The 16,835-nt window shown below is 47.1% G+C and overlaps 2 long non-coding RNA genes across 6 annotated transcripts in view, besides 1 other annotated feature; both read right to left on the bottom strand.

The window, feature by feature from the left end:
• The window catches only part of CYTOR (cytoskeleton regulator RNA), a 66,092-nt gene that overhangs the window by 44,930 nt on the left and 4,327 nt on the right, over positions 1-16,835 (bottom strand). Inside the window, exons 1-2 of one of the 5 annotated variants that reach the window (NR_146460.1) lie at positions 6,547-6,639; positions 6,285-6,439 (exon numbers count right to left, since the gene is read on the bottom strand). The exons of 3 other annotated variants lie outside the window; for them this stretch is intronic. This is a non-coding gene — a long non-coding RNA (cytoskeleton regulator RNA). Of the gene's footprint in view, positions 1-3,703; positions 3,850-6,284; positions 6,440-6,546; positions 6,640-16,835 lie in introns of those variants that run through there. One more of the 5 variants, NR_024205.3, reaches the window with a different exon arrangement.
• Positions 1-16,835, bottom strand: part of NCAL1 (NK cell activity associated lncRNA 1) — a 282,375-nt gene that overhangs the window by 261,265 nt on the left and 4,275 nt on the right. The window lies entirely within an intron of this gene.
• Positions 13,166-14,022: an enhancer, noted in NCBI's record as "H3K4me1 hESC enhancer chr2:87762086-87762942 (GRCh37/hg19 assembly coordinates)". NCBI's record gives its function as "activates a minimal SCP1, AML or CMV promoter by ChIP-STARR-seq in primed H9 embryonic stem cells {active_cell/tissue: H9 hESC(primed)}" and the evidence as "EXISTENCE:reporter gene assay evidence [ECO:0000049][PMID:30033119]".

The following is a 16,835-nucleotide window of genomic DNA, read 5'->3' as shown; positions in this document are numbered from 1 at the left end:
CCCTAAAATCTTTCCACTCATCTCTTCTGCTTATATGCCTTGATGCAAGAGGGGTTAAAGTTTCATGCATAAAATGTCTGCACTAGAGGGCACACTAGAGCATGTCCATGCATAAATGTGAACACATATAAATGTGTGCATGGGATGAGGCAAGAAGACGGGGATAGTAGAGAGAACAGAGGCTGGCTGAATCTCCTCGGGAGATGATCTGGAGGAGCTGCATTTAATCCAAACATAAAGCCTTGGTCTAGGAAGTGATCTTCTTCAAAGGCTCTTAGTCTCGTGCATGAACATGAAGCAGCAGAACCTGTGACTTCCAAACCACAGGGCTGTTTAAATTATCTCCTGTTCTTTTATTAACAATGTCAGCATGCAAATTTGTGAGATTTCAGGACATACAATTCAGGGAGTAGTGGAATTTGTGGGTACCAAATAGCAAGAAGTTTCCTTGTTTTAAAAGAACCAGATCAACTGGAATATTCTTTATTAATTATATATTACCTAATACTATCTGGGAGTGCAGCTATTGACCAGCGATGGCAAGCTGTCCATCACGGGCAGTGAAAGGGCCGGGCTGGGCCACCTGTTTCTCCATGGCTGCCAGAGACATTGGCCCTGGTCACTTACACGATCTCCACGTGTATAGCCCAGCAGAGGAGCTGGCCACACTGCAGTGGCTGCAGGAGCATGCAGGTGTCTCCATTTGTTATTGGTGGCTACTTAGCCAACATATACTTGGGGGAAGGAGAGGGAGTCCCCCAGAGGTGCTTCACCAATTCCGTAATAACAGTTCTGCTCTGTAACACTCTTAATGCTTGGGCGAGAGAAACTGCTGCCACCCCATGCCCACCTTCACACATGTCACGTTTTTCTGGCCCATCTGCACAGGCAGGGGCCCAGGTGTTGCCATCTGTTCTGAATTCTCAAAATGTCAGTGTGATATGGGCAGCCTAGAGTTTCACAATTCAGCCAGTTATTCACCCTGCCACGTCTGTCTTGATTGTGGCTCTCATGTGTCCATTCTGCTGCTGCCTCCCACAAGCCAGGTCCTTTCCTTCCAGGCCACACCAAGATCCATGCTGAAAGTGACTTCTAGGAGGGCTACAAATCTCCAGTGTTTCCTCACTTCAATTCTTCCCACCAAGTCATTATTCTAAAGCTGCACATTGATCATTCCAAACTTTGCTCAAAAACTCTAAGCAGCACACACACACATGTGCACAGACACACACACACACACACACACACACACACACACACACACACACGCCCCTGCAGGTGAAAGACCCAACCCAACACTGTGATCTGACAGTTGGGACTCTACACACATGTCCCCAGCCTTCTGCTCCACCGCAGCTTGCCTGAGCCAGTGAGCCCAGATGTGCCACAGGCACCTGCACTCCGCCTCTGACCATGCCACTCCTCCATTTGTAATTATTTTCCCATTTTAAAAATTTCAATCCAATGTCACTTATCTTCTGCCTATAGTAATTTATCGCTTCTAATCTTCTACAATATTCATATGTTTTGTCCTCAAAACATTTGTGTTTTTTGGAAGCCTGGTCCCATGAAATTCTCTAAGAAAAAAACAGAAAGTTCCACCATCATCTACATTTAACATATACCACAAATGTTATGCTGTTTCACATATTTTCAAAACACATATTTGGATATTTAAAATGCACGACCAAAGGCTCTGAGAAGTCTTGCAGATTTTTAGAAAAAGATGTTTCTCTTGGGTCAACCTGGCTTTTCCCATGCTATATTTATTTGACTGTACACCCTTTGGGGACACAGTATTTATAATGGTCTCCTCCACTCACTGGCACCCCCTGACCTCCAGTGCTCCCTTTACAGGCATCACCACATTACGAACAACTGACCCACAGGTCACCTGAACATAAAAACAGTACAGAGGAAGTGATAGCAAACTTTCTGCTCCTTATGGGGCAACTGCAGCTGGATGTGCTGGGTATTTCATCTCTGAAGCCATCATGTTGGTTGAGCTCCCAGATTCTGTAAGCTCTGACCTCAGTGAGCTCACCTTGGCTGGAGCCTGATCTGTACAATCCAGAACTTGTTTGGGAGCTGTGGGTTTAGGAGAGTTTGGGTGGGAACATGGGTGGGATGGGCATCATGGCCCCCTGGTGCTTTCTTTACAACTAGACAGTAAGTTTCTCCCAGGTAGGGTGCTTCTTTACATTATTGGCCTGAGCCTAAGGTCCTCACAGTGATAGAAATGCACCTCTGATTATTCTCTCTGAGTCCCTGAATGCTGAGACCAGGCTGATACCCAGTACAGGGAGGACCCTAAGGTTGCAGGATATGAGTGGTGAGAGAAGAACCCTGGAGAAACTCAGTTTCTCAATCCCAAGAGATCCCAGGGATGGGTGGATAAATTGGAAAGGCTGCCCAACAGCCCCACTCCACAGAGCATGCCTTAAATTAAGACAGAGAGTTCTCCTGCAACTAGTCCTTCATGGCCCCTGACCTCTTAGTTCTGGGAACCAAGTGGAATAAGTGTCATCAGTCTGGTGGAGCAGGCAGGCCTCCTGCTGGCAGCCTGCCCTCTCTGTGGACCCTTCCAGGACAGAGAACACAGCCCAAGCACAGCAAGCCATGGGGCTGGAGGCTCCATGGTATCAGAATCTCATCACATATTCTATCCTTGACCCTTCATTTCTTTAAGTTGCTTTGAAGCCACATTTCATATATCAGGACCTGCTGTTTACATAAAGCAGTGGTGGAGAGTCCCATTCATCAAAGGCAACTGCATGTCATTTGGCGTTGGCCCTGCCTTGTGGCAGAGGCCCCCTAGAGACCTATGCTAGGTGACTAGAAGCATGTTCTGGGCTCAGCAGGAAAGGGGCTAAGGCCCACCAATACCCAGACCTGCATGTCCAGAGACAGTGTCAAATTTGACCTGAAATATTAAGAGTTTAATGCCTTCTTGTTTTACAGTTTTAAAGGGGCAATTTCTGACATTCTTGTTTTTAATAAAAAGGAAGAGAAAAGCACAGAGTTTTAAATCATGTAATTACAAAGCGGTGCAAAATGAACATGTGCGGCCTTTGTTCAAAAACCATTAAGAATTTTAAGATGGTAACAGCAGGGCATTAAACCAAGCCAGGACCTTCTGCGCAGGGGAGGCCCTAAGCGACTGCACAGCGCGCACACCTGTGAGGCCGGCCGAGCAGATATCAACATCGGCCACGGGTCCGGCAGGGAGAGTGCCAGGGACTTCATGGTCTCACTGTAAGGCCTGCAAGGTGGCAAGACAGAAGTACAGCATCCTGGAAAGACTTCCTTGAAAAGAGGCTCTCAGCCCAGCCCTCGGTGCCCTCCCAGATTCCCACGCTCTTGGGGTTTGGGCCGACTTGGCAGCCTCTAATCGTTTGATTTGACTCAAGCGCCACACTTGGTGGGTTCAGTCTCCTTCTTGTAGGTTGTGTCCATTCCTACTCTTGAGATTATTTTCATCAATCTGTTTTGTTTTTGGCCCCAATCAGGCCTATTTTTTATTTGGGTTGCTTGTCTACATTTCACACTCAAGGTCAAACTTTCTCAATATGCAGATACTAAAACGTGATTCTCCGGGGGCCCTGCCTGGCCTGGCCTGGCCTGTGCTCAGCCCTGGTTGTCTGTCTTTCCCTGAGCTGACCACACCCTGGATCCATTTATGCCGAGGCTCTCTGAAGCTCACCTCCTGAAATCTCTCGGCTGCTCCGGCCCCAGTGGCCCTCCACTGCGTTCACTGTCCGCTGGTTCCCGTTATCAGGTCCTGACTCCTTCCTGTTTCTGGCCCATATTCTCTAAAAGCTCTGAGCTCCATTCCTCTGCCTCTTTGCCCTGAAGTCACATGGGAGTCGGAAAGACACAGACGTTGTGTCAAAGCTCTACCCAATCCCACATTCCAACTGGAAACTGCCCATTTGACACCTCCCCAACACATAAAACTTATCAACTTAAATATCATAATTTCAGCAGGAAAAAAGTGAATGACTTAATAAATAGTCTGGGAAAATTTGCTACACATTTAGGGTAAAATGAAACTCCCTTACTTCAAATTATAAACAAAAATAAGTTCTACTTGACTTGACATTTTAAACCAAAAATAAAATTACTAAGTATCAGAAGAAAAAAATGTGAGGATATTTTTCGAATCTAGGGGTAGGAACAGACTTTCTAAGCAAGACAAAACCTGGGTGTTAAAAGGAAAATAATAACTACTTAAAAGTTAAATAGTTCCATAATATAAACGACACAGTAAAGAAAGTTAAGACAGGTTGAGAGAAAGTATTTGCAGCATATATATCAAAGTCTTAAAATCCAGGATATTAGAAAAGTTCCCCCAGAACAACAATAAAAAAAAGGAAGAAAAGGAGAAGGAAGAAAGGAATGAAGGGAGGGAGGGAGGGGAAAGGGAAGAGACAGAGGGAATAAAGGAGGGAGGGAGGGGAAAAGAGGGCAAAAAATATAGGGAGGCAATTTATAAAAGGGCAATTAACAGGCTATAGGTCTTCTTAAACCAATCTTCCCCAGAGCAAATATATATAAAATCAGTATTTCTGGAGGCTGAGCTTAATTCTTTACTTTTTTTCAGTGCTTAGCTACAATTTTATTGGATTTTTACCATAAAACTAACTCTTCAGCAAAGAAGGCACATTTTAAATAGACCTTCTAAATGCAGAGTTCTTCTGAGTTATGAATGACTGCAAGGTAGCATGACTACAAAAATTGTTCTAAACAACATTATTCTAAATTATTCTGCATGATTATTATATTATTCTAACAACTATATTATTCCAAATTTTAAAGGAGATTAATTATGGGAGAGATGATTTACGCAATTACCAAATACACAGAGAGGACAGGATTGGGAGGAAATATGCCTGACTGGGAACAGTGGGTAACTCTAGTGGTAGGAATGTCGGTGGTGAGTTTTATTTTCTTCCTTGTCTTTTCTTCTAAACCCCTGCACCTGGCATCAAGACAGGCAGTGCCACCTGGGCACCAGCAGAGCCCTCCTCTGTCCTGGGGCAGCCGACCCTCAGGGGCACCTCTGCTCCCAGGGTGTCTTTCACCTGGGGCTTTTATATTTTCTTCAGATATTGCCTTAAAGAAACATGCTATTCACATCCTACAGACATTTTTTTACATGGTTTTTGCGTTGCTTCAAATAATGTCCTCAATTTTACAATAAGAGGATTATTTAAAATTTTAAAAGCTGACGCTCGTAGCAAACCACTGTGACCTGTGGTGCCTGCATCCCCTGCCCGGCCACTAGGTTGTCCCGGCTAGAGTCCAAATGCCCCCCAGCTGCCTGCTCACATTTCTGAGGTGGGCAGGGATCCATGGGCCTCTCTTTGGCCCACTCCTGTGCACGTGGGATGTCCACAGCTGGGACACCTGTGCGTGGGCACCCGCCCTGCAGGTCGCCTCCAGATCTGAGTCCTCACTCCTCCGCCTCTTGACTTTGAAGTCAAGGTTTCACTCTCTTGACGAATACTCACTGCTTAAGGCTACCCTTGCTACTAAAATAACTTTCCATGAAATACTCTGAAAGAAGCTTCTTGACTGTAAATGCCATTATACTATCAGAAATGCCATGTTTGTGTGCGGTTATGTCTTGTGTAACTGACTCCACCGGATTTTCAAGGTGAAGATTGCTCGTTTTTGTCATTTCCAAAACCCAACATTCTTTCACTATAATGTGGCAACTTCTCAGTTCTTTAAACTATTTTTTTCTTTAAGTTCTTATGAATTGATGGTTCCTGTTTTTCTGAACTGTGTGTTGAACCCGTGCTTCTGCTAGGTTCAGAGTCACCTTTGTTCAATAACTAGCAAATGAGGCAAAAAGGTCTCACATAAAATGTGACTTTGTGGCCACTTGGGAGCCTCCATCTCCTCTCTTTGTAAATTTTAATTTGGAGAGACGAGTGTGAACCTCAAAGGAGGGAAAGGGAGCGGGAAAATGGCAACGTGGGTGAAAGTTCCATGTTCGGGCGAGGTTCTCTGTGTGAGGTGAGACTGTGCTGTCCTGCTCACATGGGAACCGTGGCTCGGCCGCCAACCTCGCACGGAGTACAGGGACCCACACAGAGACACACTCTGTAGCCCACCAGAGCACGGATCCCATCCCATATAAAGATGAAATGAGTCTTTTTGTTTTTTTCTTTTTAGCACATGTAAAGACCAAATTTTTCTTTTGAACCTCGATTTTCTTTTGAACCTTGATTTAACTTTTAGGAAAAGTGAAAACAAAAGGAGAATATTGTATTCACCCAAATAAAAAATGATTTCCTGCGTCCAGGTTGACTGCTCATCCATTAGCAGCAGATGTCTCTTGAGTAGCTGAACCACACCAAGCTGGACCTGGGACTTGAGAAGCCCCCTTCAACCTCTGTCAGGACGCACGCTGGATTAGCATCTGCTAGGGCTGCCGTAAGAAAGTACCAAAAAATAAGTGGCTTAAACAATAAAATATTGTCTCACAGTTCTGAAGGCTGGAAGTCTGAGATCACAGTGCCCACCGGGCCAGGCTACCTCCAAAGGGAAGGCTATGTTCCAGCCTCTCTCTCGGCTTCTGGTGGTGTAGCTGTTTAAGTCCAGTCTTCACATGGTGTACTCCCTGAGTGTGTGTCTGTCTTGAAATTTCCCCTTCTTATAAGGACACCAGTGATATGGGATCAGGGGCCCACCCGACTCCAGCATGACCTCATTTGAACTAATTACATCGGCAATGGCACTATTTCCAAATAAGGTCACGTCTGAGCTGCCAGGGGCGAGGACGTCCACATGTGAATTTTGGGACACACAAGTCAACCCATCACACACAGAGGCCCTAAAGGATGAATCACACACGTCTGGACTCCTACTCACTTTCTTAGTCGTGTCTTCTACCAGTCCTCTTCCCCCAAACTCGTTCCCCTGAAAGCAAGTTGCCTTCCCACTAAGAACAGACCATTTGCTTTCTTTCCCTTCAGTGTCAGTGTCTATGCTAAGGAGAAGGTTGTTTAAAAAGCAGCTCAAAATCCACCAGACTCCTCAGGAAGTGCCTCTCGGGGAGGCCTCTAGACGGGGCTGCTGTGCCTCAGTAGCCTCAGTAAAGACCTCCCTCCAGCTGCCCTGTGTCTCCTGACTCCCGGGCTTTGTGATTCTAACCTCATGGGTGCTCTGAGGGTAAACCCCAGGAAGTCCTGTAGGTCCCGGGGCTGTTCCTGTGAGGACAGCTGTCCCCTGCACGCACGTGGGGTGCCGTGTGCTCCTGAGGAGCTGGCTGGGGCAGGCAGGGCCCAGTGACACCTGGGCTGGAACTGTGGCTCCCCCACTTGTTTGCTGGCTCTGCTTCCTCTTTAAGAAACGAGGATGATCATGTAGGGTTCCTAAGGGGGTTAAAGTGTGTGAACTCCTTAGAGGCGCACATAGCCCAGAGGAGAAACATAAGTCAGCCTCAGCTCCTCACGGTGCCTTCGGCCACAGACAGCATTTGCCTTCACCAGGCTTCTTTTTAAAACAATTCTTGACTTGGAAAGGGTCCTTGGGAAAAATTAAAATTTTTAAAATAAATAAATAAAATCTGAGGTTAATTCTTTTGAAGACCCAATCTCCATTTCCTCATCCATCTGTTTTGTAAATACAATCTGGTGTCCAGGCGACTCTGAGGGACTGGGACCCTCCTGAATCACACAGCGTCCAAGTCACTCACTGCTCTCATTTCTGGCTATCAGATTGTTCCCCGGGGGAATGGAGTCTCCGCCCCTGGGAGCTCAATTCGAAACCACGGCTGACCGTGAGGATGGTGACTCCCCACTCGGACCCCCTGAGGATGGCGACTTCCCGCTCGGGCCCCCTGAGACTTTGCTGGGGCTGGAAGACCACACACAGTGCATTCCCTGAAGGCCAGGGCCTACCCATCCACCCATCCATCCACCTAGGGATGCCTGGATAAGCTCAGGGCCCCACCCACCCAACAGGGGAGGAGGGGAGACCCAGCCAGCCCTCCTGGAGCCCTGACATTTACAGCTGCAAAGGTAGGCAGCTGCGCTCAAACACACAAGCCAGGCCTCTCAACACAAGAAGGGGTTTAACATTAAAAAAAAACATTATGAGGCTGAGGCAGGCAGATTGCTTGTGTCCAGGAAATTGAGACCAGCCTGGGCAACACAGCAAAACCCTGTCCCTACAAAAAATAGAAAAATTAGCCAGGCCTGGTGATGCATGCTTGTAGTCCCAGCAACTCAGAAGGCTGAGATGGGAGGATCACCTGAGCCTGGGGAGGTCGAGGCTGCAGTGAACCGTGATCGTGCCACTGCACTCCAGCCTGGGCAACAGAGTGAGACCCTGTCTCAAACAAAACAAAACAAAAAAAACCCATTTTGATAGATTTTGTGGAAAATAAGGAAGAAAAGAAAAAGGCCCATTCTTTTTTGCTTATACTGTATTTGCATAAAGAAACTCTGAAAGGACATATAAGAAACTAAGAAAAGGGTTACGGAGGGAACTGGATGGGAGATGGGGATGGGTGTGTGTTTTTCACTGGATACCTTTTTATACAATTTCATTTTTGAATCCTATTCAGAAAAATTAAAGCTGGAAATTCTATTCCCTCATTTACCACATTTACAGGGTGAAAGAGAAATTCTGTATCCTCATCCCAAGAGATGCTGAAAAGCATCCGTGGAAGGTTGGCACCACCTGTCATGAGCGCCTTTTTCCAGATGAGAGTTCCCCAGGACTCATTGCAGAGCTTCCGGCTGGACTCCCTGAGGCCATGGAGAATTGCCAGGGTAGGGGTTACAGAGAAAGATGCCCTCCCTTGGAAATAATTTGTTTGAAGGCTCCTAATCTGCATGTGGTCTTGACAAATAGGATCCAGCAAACCTGGATGTGTGCAAGCCATTGGAGATTCGTGATTTCTTGGATGAAGCTGGGAATTCCACCTCTGCCTCAAGCTGTGCACCCTCAAACTCTCAAAAGCCTCAGTTTACTCATCTGCAACATGAGTTAAGAGTGCCCAACCCCCATAGGATGGGAATGATCATGTTAAAAGACATACATTCTCCAATCCCTACTGCTTCCAGGAGGCCCTTCAGAATAACATTGATTCACTACACACAATGTAAGCAGCATGGCTGATCTCTTGTAAGTCCTGCATGAGGTAGTAATTAGAACCTCAAACATGAGAATCAAAGAGTGCCACTTTTGCAGCAGTAGAAGACTAAGAAATTGTAATAATCCTTTGAATCAGTTTGCTCAGATTACTCCCAGATTACTCTGGGACTTTTCTGACATATGAAGAACAATTTCTATTTCAATAGGGTGTCCATTGCCTGCCACTAACTTTTCATTTTCACAGAGAATGGCTGAAATTAGAATTGAGAGATTCTGATAATTCTGGCAAGCAGAGGGCAGATGGGGGTGAGGATGTGCGGACAGGGGCTGCGTTACTCTAAACGGCAGGGAAGGACTTGGGGACAGCATTTGTTCCCCTCTCCAGTGACATTCCTGTTTTGTTCAAGTGCCCCTCTGATGAACCCAGTGGGTGAACACAGAGCAGGTGACACACACTTTGGACAGGTGAGACAGTCGCGGGTGAGTCACCTCCTTACCAGGAACCTCTGGTGTGCAGTCACCTTTCCTGCGGCTGGGTGGCAGTCTGTACTCATTCTGTGCCTTACCTCTTCCCTCCCGAGCATGACTCTGAGCAGGCACTTCTGGGGACTTCAAAGAGACTGTCACATGCAGATGAGATGAGCCATGTGCCTTTCAGGCCCAGCTCAGCAGGGCCAGCTTGAAAGGCATATCTGAATTGAATCAAATGCATCCACCCCACAAACTGAGGATGTGACTATATGTAAACAATGAAAATGACAATCATTGACAGCCGAGCGTTTAAATGCTCTGGATGTTGGAGGTAACTTACAGCCAGTATCTAATTCACAGCTGCCCCGAAGTTAGCTAACCTCGCCAAAAGCTCCCTGTGCTTGAGGATGGAGGAAAGAGAGAACAGCAGAGAAGGATGGGTATCCATCAAGACAAGGCTGGCTGAGTGTCTAAATCATCCCCACACGCTCCATTTGTCTGTGGGATCACTATCACATATTTGATCATATGATACGTTTCATAACCCCCTTTACCCCCATCAGTGAAACTTGTGCAGCAAGGGGAGCTATTTGTGTTCAATGCAGTGCCCGAGAGCACTGGGATAGTGGCAACAGTGAAGACAATCGCTAGTGGATGTCACAGGTCTCTGCTCTTGGTCTTCACTGATCCAAGTGGTCTTCTGGTGAAGATGTAAAGGGGATACCACTCCAAGTTATAGATGACATGAAGCTTCATGTTTTATATTAGAGAATACATGGGCTAAATCTAAAAGACAACACCAACGATAATGCAAAGTTCTACTTAGGTTAAAAAAAAAAGTTTTTTTTAAAAAAGTCACCACCTCATATTCAGAATGATCCCAGCACTTTGAGAGGCAGAGGTGGGAGGATCACTGGAGGACAGGAGTTTGAGACCAGCCTGGACAACACAGTGAGACGCTCGTCTCTACCAAAAAAAAGATTTTAAAATTAGCCAGGCATGGTGCCACATGCCTGTAGTCCCAGCTCTTCAGGAGGCTGAGGTCAAGGGTCACTTGAGTTCAGAAGTTCAAGGCTGCAGTGAGCTATGATTGCTTCACTGTACTCCAGCCTGAGTGACAGAGTGAGATCTTGTCTCTAAAAGATATATATATACACACACACACAGAATTAGAGAGATGTGGCTTTGCAGCACGTTCCCACACAGAGAGGCAGGGAGGTCAGCTGGCTGTCAGTGCAGTGCCCAGGTCCAACAGATAGGTATGGTTGCCAAAAACCAGACAAAGGAGGTCACTGTGCCCACCTGAAGTGGGACATTGGAAAGTTGCCAAGTAGATGCTGTGGAAGGCAGCACAAGATCAAGGGTAGCTGAACACCTCAGCACATAAAGAATCTTTCCAGGAACCATGAGAAGAAGGAAGAGCTTGAACAGAAGTGGTGAGGTCCATGCAGTCGGAAGGGCTTTGGTGTGGAAGGAGCTGGGGCTCATGCAATAATTCAGCAGTCTCTGGGACAGGATATGTGCTCAAGGTATATGAATGGGCATGTTGAGTTATGACCATCCTTCCCATCGTGGCTATGCTTATATGACTTCGGGGGCAGAGCTAGGTCCAAAATATGGATGTGCCAGAGAATAGGCTTTGGATAATTTATAGAACGTCTTCTCAGCTGGCGCTTTGCAGTGATGCGCTGGGCTGCCTCTTTGGGAGGGAAAGGGCTTATGGATTAGACAGCCCTCTGAGGGCTCACAGAGAGGGGCTTCTATGGTGGGAAGTGCCCTTCACACTGAGAATCGTGATTCCAAATGAAGGGTGTCTAAGTAATGATGATGACTCCATGTTGGATGGTTAAGCATCTGCCACTGTGGGTCACCTCGCCCATGTATCAGGGAGGATCAAAGAGGACCCTCGATCATGGCCACACAGCTAGCAAGAGGAAGGCAGGACTGGCCCAGGGATTCTGATTCCACATCAACAGAGTTTTTAACATCCCCAGAGTGTCCCTGATTCCCTCTTCATGACCCTGCACTAGCTGCCATATTCATACACGGAAGCACACCAGCACCTGCATCTCCCCTACTAACAGCCCTCCTCACAACCGCACTGCTTCTCAGCTGCCCTGACTGGTCTCAATTAACATTCATTGAATAATGAGTAAATAACTAAACAGATGGACAATTGAACCTCTTCCCTTAGATGTCCAGCACTCTACACCTAATGCTGCCCCTGGGTGTCAGCAAATGAAATGTGGAGGCAGGATTGTGGTACTCCTCCAATGCCAGAGTTGGAGGAGAGAGATCATTGCTGGAATGGAGATCTGGGGCCCAGAGAACAGCTCCTACAGTCAGGAGTAAATGGCAAAAAGCCACTAATTCCAATCTAAATAGCTAATGCTATTGAATACCTACTATGTGCAGCACTTTCCTAAGAATTTTTCATGCAAGAACTCTTTGCATCCTCAGAACAACTCTCTGTGGTAATTGTTCCTCTATTTCTAGTTTACGGGTGAGGAAACTGAGGTCAGTAGGTGTTAAGTAACTTGCTATGCATGCATTAAGTAGCTGGCTGAGCTGAGGCTCAGCCCTGGCGGTGGCTTCATCACTGGGCCTTGTGAGCCCCTCCAAGGTCACATGGTCCAGCAAACTACAGCAAACTGGGGAGTAGCCAGGAGTAAAATCATGTGGGGAACTTGAGGGGTGACTTCAGGGGAGGAACAGCCCCATGTCTCAGTCTGTGATCCCACACACAGAAGGACATCATTTGTGCTCAAGGTAACTTGAGCAGGCAGGGCATGGGAGAGAAAAGAGGCTCAGGCCTGGGGCCCTGGGTCTGCTCATCTCCGCACAACTTGTATGTTTCTTGTCAATTGTGCCTGAACATACTGTAAATCTTCTCCCTTAAAAAGCCAAAAGAGTAAAGTTTGAGGGATTTGTAGGACACTAACAAGAACCAAACCTGAGGCTTATTTATGCCAGTCTAACTATTAATAGTTCCTGGAATGGCTTTACACAAACAAGAATAAGGCTGTCTATCCCCACGCAGGAAAGTTCATGTGCAAATACCACAAGGCTGGACAGTCCGGCTGCATGTGCCCTGCACCTGAGGCCCCCAGCCCAAGGGAACCCTCAGGACAAACAGCAGAGAAGCTCTGGGTGCCAGGGCATCCTCCTCGACAGGCCCCCTACCCTGGCATGGGCATGTGAGGCCTGAGAGCCCACTGGAAGTGGAGACATTGAGGCTTCCACTAGTGGCCACTCGTGGCAGAGGCCAGGGACCCCAACCTGACTAGCCACTGCTCGTAGCCCAGGGGCTGTGCACCTTGGAGGGGTCACCAGCCCCTCTGAAGACCTGCCGAGTGCCACCGCAGGGCTCAATTCAGGCCCTCCACCTCATCAGAGTGACGGCTCATCTTTCAAGGCTCCCAGATCAGGAGTCTGTGTTCCACATGTATGCTGTCCAACCTGGTAGCCACATGCAGTTGTGGGCATTTAAATTAAAATTAACTGAAATTAGATAAAACTTTCAATCCAGTTCCTAGTCACAGTAGCCACATTTCAGTTGCTTAGGAGCCACATGTGACTTGTGGCCGCTGCTTTGACCAGCACAGATACAGAACTTTTCCATCCTTGCAGAAGGTTCTATCAGACAGTGCTGCACTAGAGAGTTTGGGAAGCCACCTTGTGACTTCCCCGGGTCCTCGGAGAGTTTTCTGTTTCTGCCTCCTCTGCTGTCGCTGCTGTCTCTTGGCCTTCAGACTGAGACAGGAGGCCCAGGCTGGGAGAGGCCCAGCAGCAGCTAGCAGCAAGCAGGACAAAGCCCACAGAGGGTGCCCTATCAATCAGACATTGCTGGGTGCATTTGCTGAGACTGGGAGCTCACACAGTGGCCATGAGAGCAGCGACACATTTCCAGCAGCGGAGCCTACAGTTAGAGGACAGATCACGAGAGGTGTGGGGTCCACCCCAACTGGAGCAGGCCCTGAGCAGCTCCCAGAGCCCCCCACACACTGAGACTGCAGGTGTCGAAGTTGCAATGGTAGCAGCCACCGCAGACAATGGATGCTCCCCCCCAGGTTTCCTGGCATCACCTAAGCCCAAGTTTGTTTGATGACATCTGGAGCATTATGACAAGAAAGGATCCCCAATAATGACAGAATTTGAATCTCCCAATAACCAGGCAGAGAGGGTGAGGTAGGGCAGGGCGATCTTGGAGCAGATTTAATATAATTTAGAGATTTCTAGAGTAAAGGTACGTCACATTTTGATACCTTGGCATTATAGACTGGAATTCATACCCGTTAAACAAATAATTGAGCCAGTATGGGGAATTATTACATGGGGAATAAGGAGGCTGAAATTAAAACAGGGACAGGACAGAGAATCCTGTTCTGAAAATCCTGCTTGTCATTTCCAAAGCTCGAGTGAGCATTGAGGATGTCGGGCTCATCAACAGTACATGAAACCAAGCCTGCCTGCCTTCCTCAGAGGCAAGAGTTAGGTCCACATTTCCTGGCACGCAGCTCTGGGTAATTCACAATTCCGAAGCTGCCCCTAGAGAGACCAGCCTATGTTGGCCAGGGCAAGTCCTTCTGTGATTGCTCTCTGCCCTCTTGGGGCCTACATGTCCATTGGGCATGCTGGGCACAGTGCATGGGGCCCATGATACTGTTAGGGGCCTGCAAAAGTGTTTTAATTTTGATTTATTTTAAAATCAGAGGAAAACCACAAATAAATGATAATGAATGTATAATAATGAATCAGCCTGAATGACATTTATCTTTCTGCCAGAGCAGTCACACTCTGCTTTTTCATAAGAAAGTGGTCTGCAAAGACCAAAGCACCTGGGGTCCCTGGGCATCACCATGAGGCCATGACCCTTGCCCCCTATACCAGAGACCTGAAAGGCAGCTCCACAAAGAAGTGACCCTGACACCCTGAAAAATACTCCTACAGGTTGAATTTCAGCTGGAATATTTTTCCCACCTCCCTCTGCATCCGGCTCCAAAAATAGTCAAATCTCCAGGCAGGCAAAATAGCTGGTCACCCAAAGACCTGTGACCATCTGCCTGCTCTGCCATCCTTAGCACTGGTTTCTTTCCTCCACATTGTCTTATGGCTTCATGGAGGCTGCTGGAGCTCCAGCCATCACGTCTGCATTCCAGACAGGGGGAAGGAGAGAATTCAGGTGCAAAATGCTAAGCCTATTACATGTCAGTCTCCTTTAGAGAGCTTTTCTAGAATCCCTAGCTAACCTTTCAGCCTATATCTTTCATTGGCCACCGTATCTGTAAAGGAGACTAGGAAATATCGTTTTTTAACTGGGCACACTGTTGTCCCTAACAACATGGACTTGTGGTTGACAACAGAGGAAGCAGAAGAGAATGCATACTGGAAGTCTCTACAACAGAGTGCTGAAGACAACCAGCTTGATATTGTATAGTACTCTCTCCTGTGAGTGGGCCTGGGGACAAATCATTTAACTTCTCTGTAACCAGGGTCTACTTGATGAAGTAACCACATTGCCCACACCAGAAGCATCAGGAAGGGTACCAAGGAGATGGTAGCTTCAAGGACTTTGGACCACTTGGAGGAGGGTATTCAAAGGGACAGAAGTCACTTGCTTGATTCTTGTATTAAAATCAAGTGGGATTTCTTTTCATTCATGCATTTCACCAGTACTTATCACGTATCCAATAAAGCAACAAGGACAATCCAAACACTGTTCTGTTGCCTGAGGGCTGACTTGGGGCCAGGCACTGTTCCGGATCCTTTGCACATGTGGCCTCACTTAGTCCTCAGAACCATATGTGGCAGAGTCTACCATTATCATCCCCATCATTCAGATGTGGAATTGGGACAAAGAGGGGTTAAGGATGATGCCCGGGGTCACACTGTTAATACACAAAGGAGCCTAGCTTTGAACAAACAGCCTAGCTCTTAGACCCCAAGGAGGTGGTAGCGAATTGGCAGACAAGGTCTCACCTTTTTTTGTCTTTCTAGTGAAACACATATAAGCCCAATTATGTAAGGCCATCATAAATTTCCCCCAGAAGACTGGCACAGGGAGATGGGGGCTACTCTCACCTTCTGCAGCACACACCAAGAATCTCTGCTGTGCTTGGGTTCATGACTCACCCCTTCCCTCAAAGCCAGCTCTTCCTGAGTCAGGACCATGTCCTTTGAGTCCTGAGGTGCAGCAAGGAAACTGTCCAGACTTGGCTTCAAAAGCCAGGCTACTTTCCAGCAAAGAGCCAAATGGCTGGTTGCTTAGAATTTTTAGAACAGGTTCATCTCCAAGGACATGGAGTCTATTCACATAAATCAACCTGATCAAAGGCCAGAGAAGCTAAAACTGTCACATACCTATTATCTACTGGCATAATCAAGGCCAAAGGGATTCATAAGGAGGCGGTGGGTTTTGGAGGGAGAGTGCTTGCTGCTATTTCACCTTGGACCTGAGTCCCCTCTTGTGTGCCCCTTGCTCTGCATCATCTCAGGGCCTTGCCTCACTCCTCCATCTTCCTCCTCCAGCTCCTTTACAGATAGGGTGGCCAGTGAAAGACTAGGCTGAAAGGGTTAGCTGGGAATTCAAGGAAAGGCCTGCAGAGGAGTCTGACATCTAGGAGGCTTTGCCTTTTGCCCTCCACTTCCTTCCTCTCTTCTGTCTGGAATGCAGAAGTGATGGCAGGAGCTCCAGCAGCCTTCTTGAAGCATAAGATAACTTGGAGGAAGGAAGCCAGTGCTAAGGATGGCTGAGTAGGCAGATGGATGAACTGGCTGCCTGTTGACCCTTGTCCCAGAAAACCTGCTTCCTGTTTGAGGACGGAACAGAAAGAGCAATAGAATCCTTTTTCTGTGCAAGAGAAATTAAGCCTGACTCTTTTCGGAGCCCTTGCTATTTTATACATTTTCCCTTGTATCTAGCTGAATTGATAGAAACTTATCAATGTATTAATCAACACTCCGTAAGTGATTTGTCCAGTGAGAACAGCTAAAATAATACATTTTCTGTCATCATTAAAAATCCTGTGATTTTTAGTCCAATAAATGTTTTAAAGGGCAGGATGAAGAGAAGAGCTACAAGACCCTGTAGCAGAAGCCCTCACTCGCAGGGTTATCACTCCTAAAACAAAAGATAAGCAGGAAAACCACAGTGGATAAGATCTGCTGTCAACCTTAGCTTTTCTGATTACACAAAGTGCAATAACATCTATTTTTTTTAATCCGAAGGAATCCTCTGACACCACCAAGCA

This window comes from Homo sapiens, chromosome 2, assembly GCF_000001405.40.
Source record: "Homo sapiens chromosome 2, GRCh38.p14 Primary Assembly".
Taxonomy (NCBI): domain Eukaryota; kingdom Metazoa; phylum Chordata; class Mammalia; order Primates; family Hominidae; genus Homo; species Homo sapiens.
Note: the sequence above shows the minus strand (reverse complement) of the source record. Positions and strands in the feature narration are given on the sequence as shown.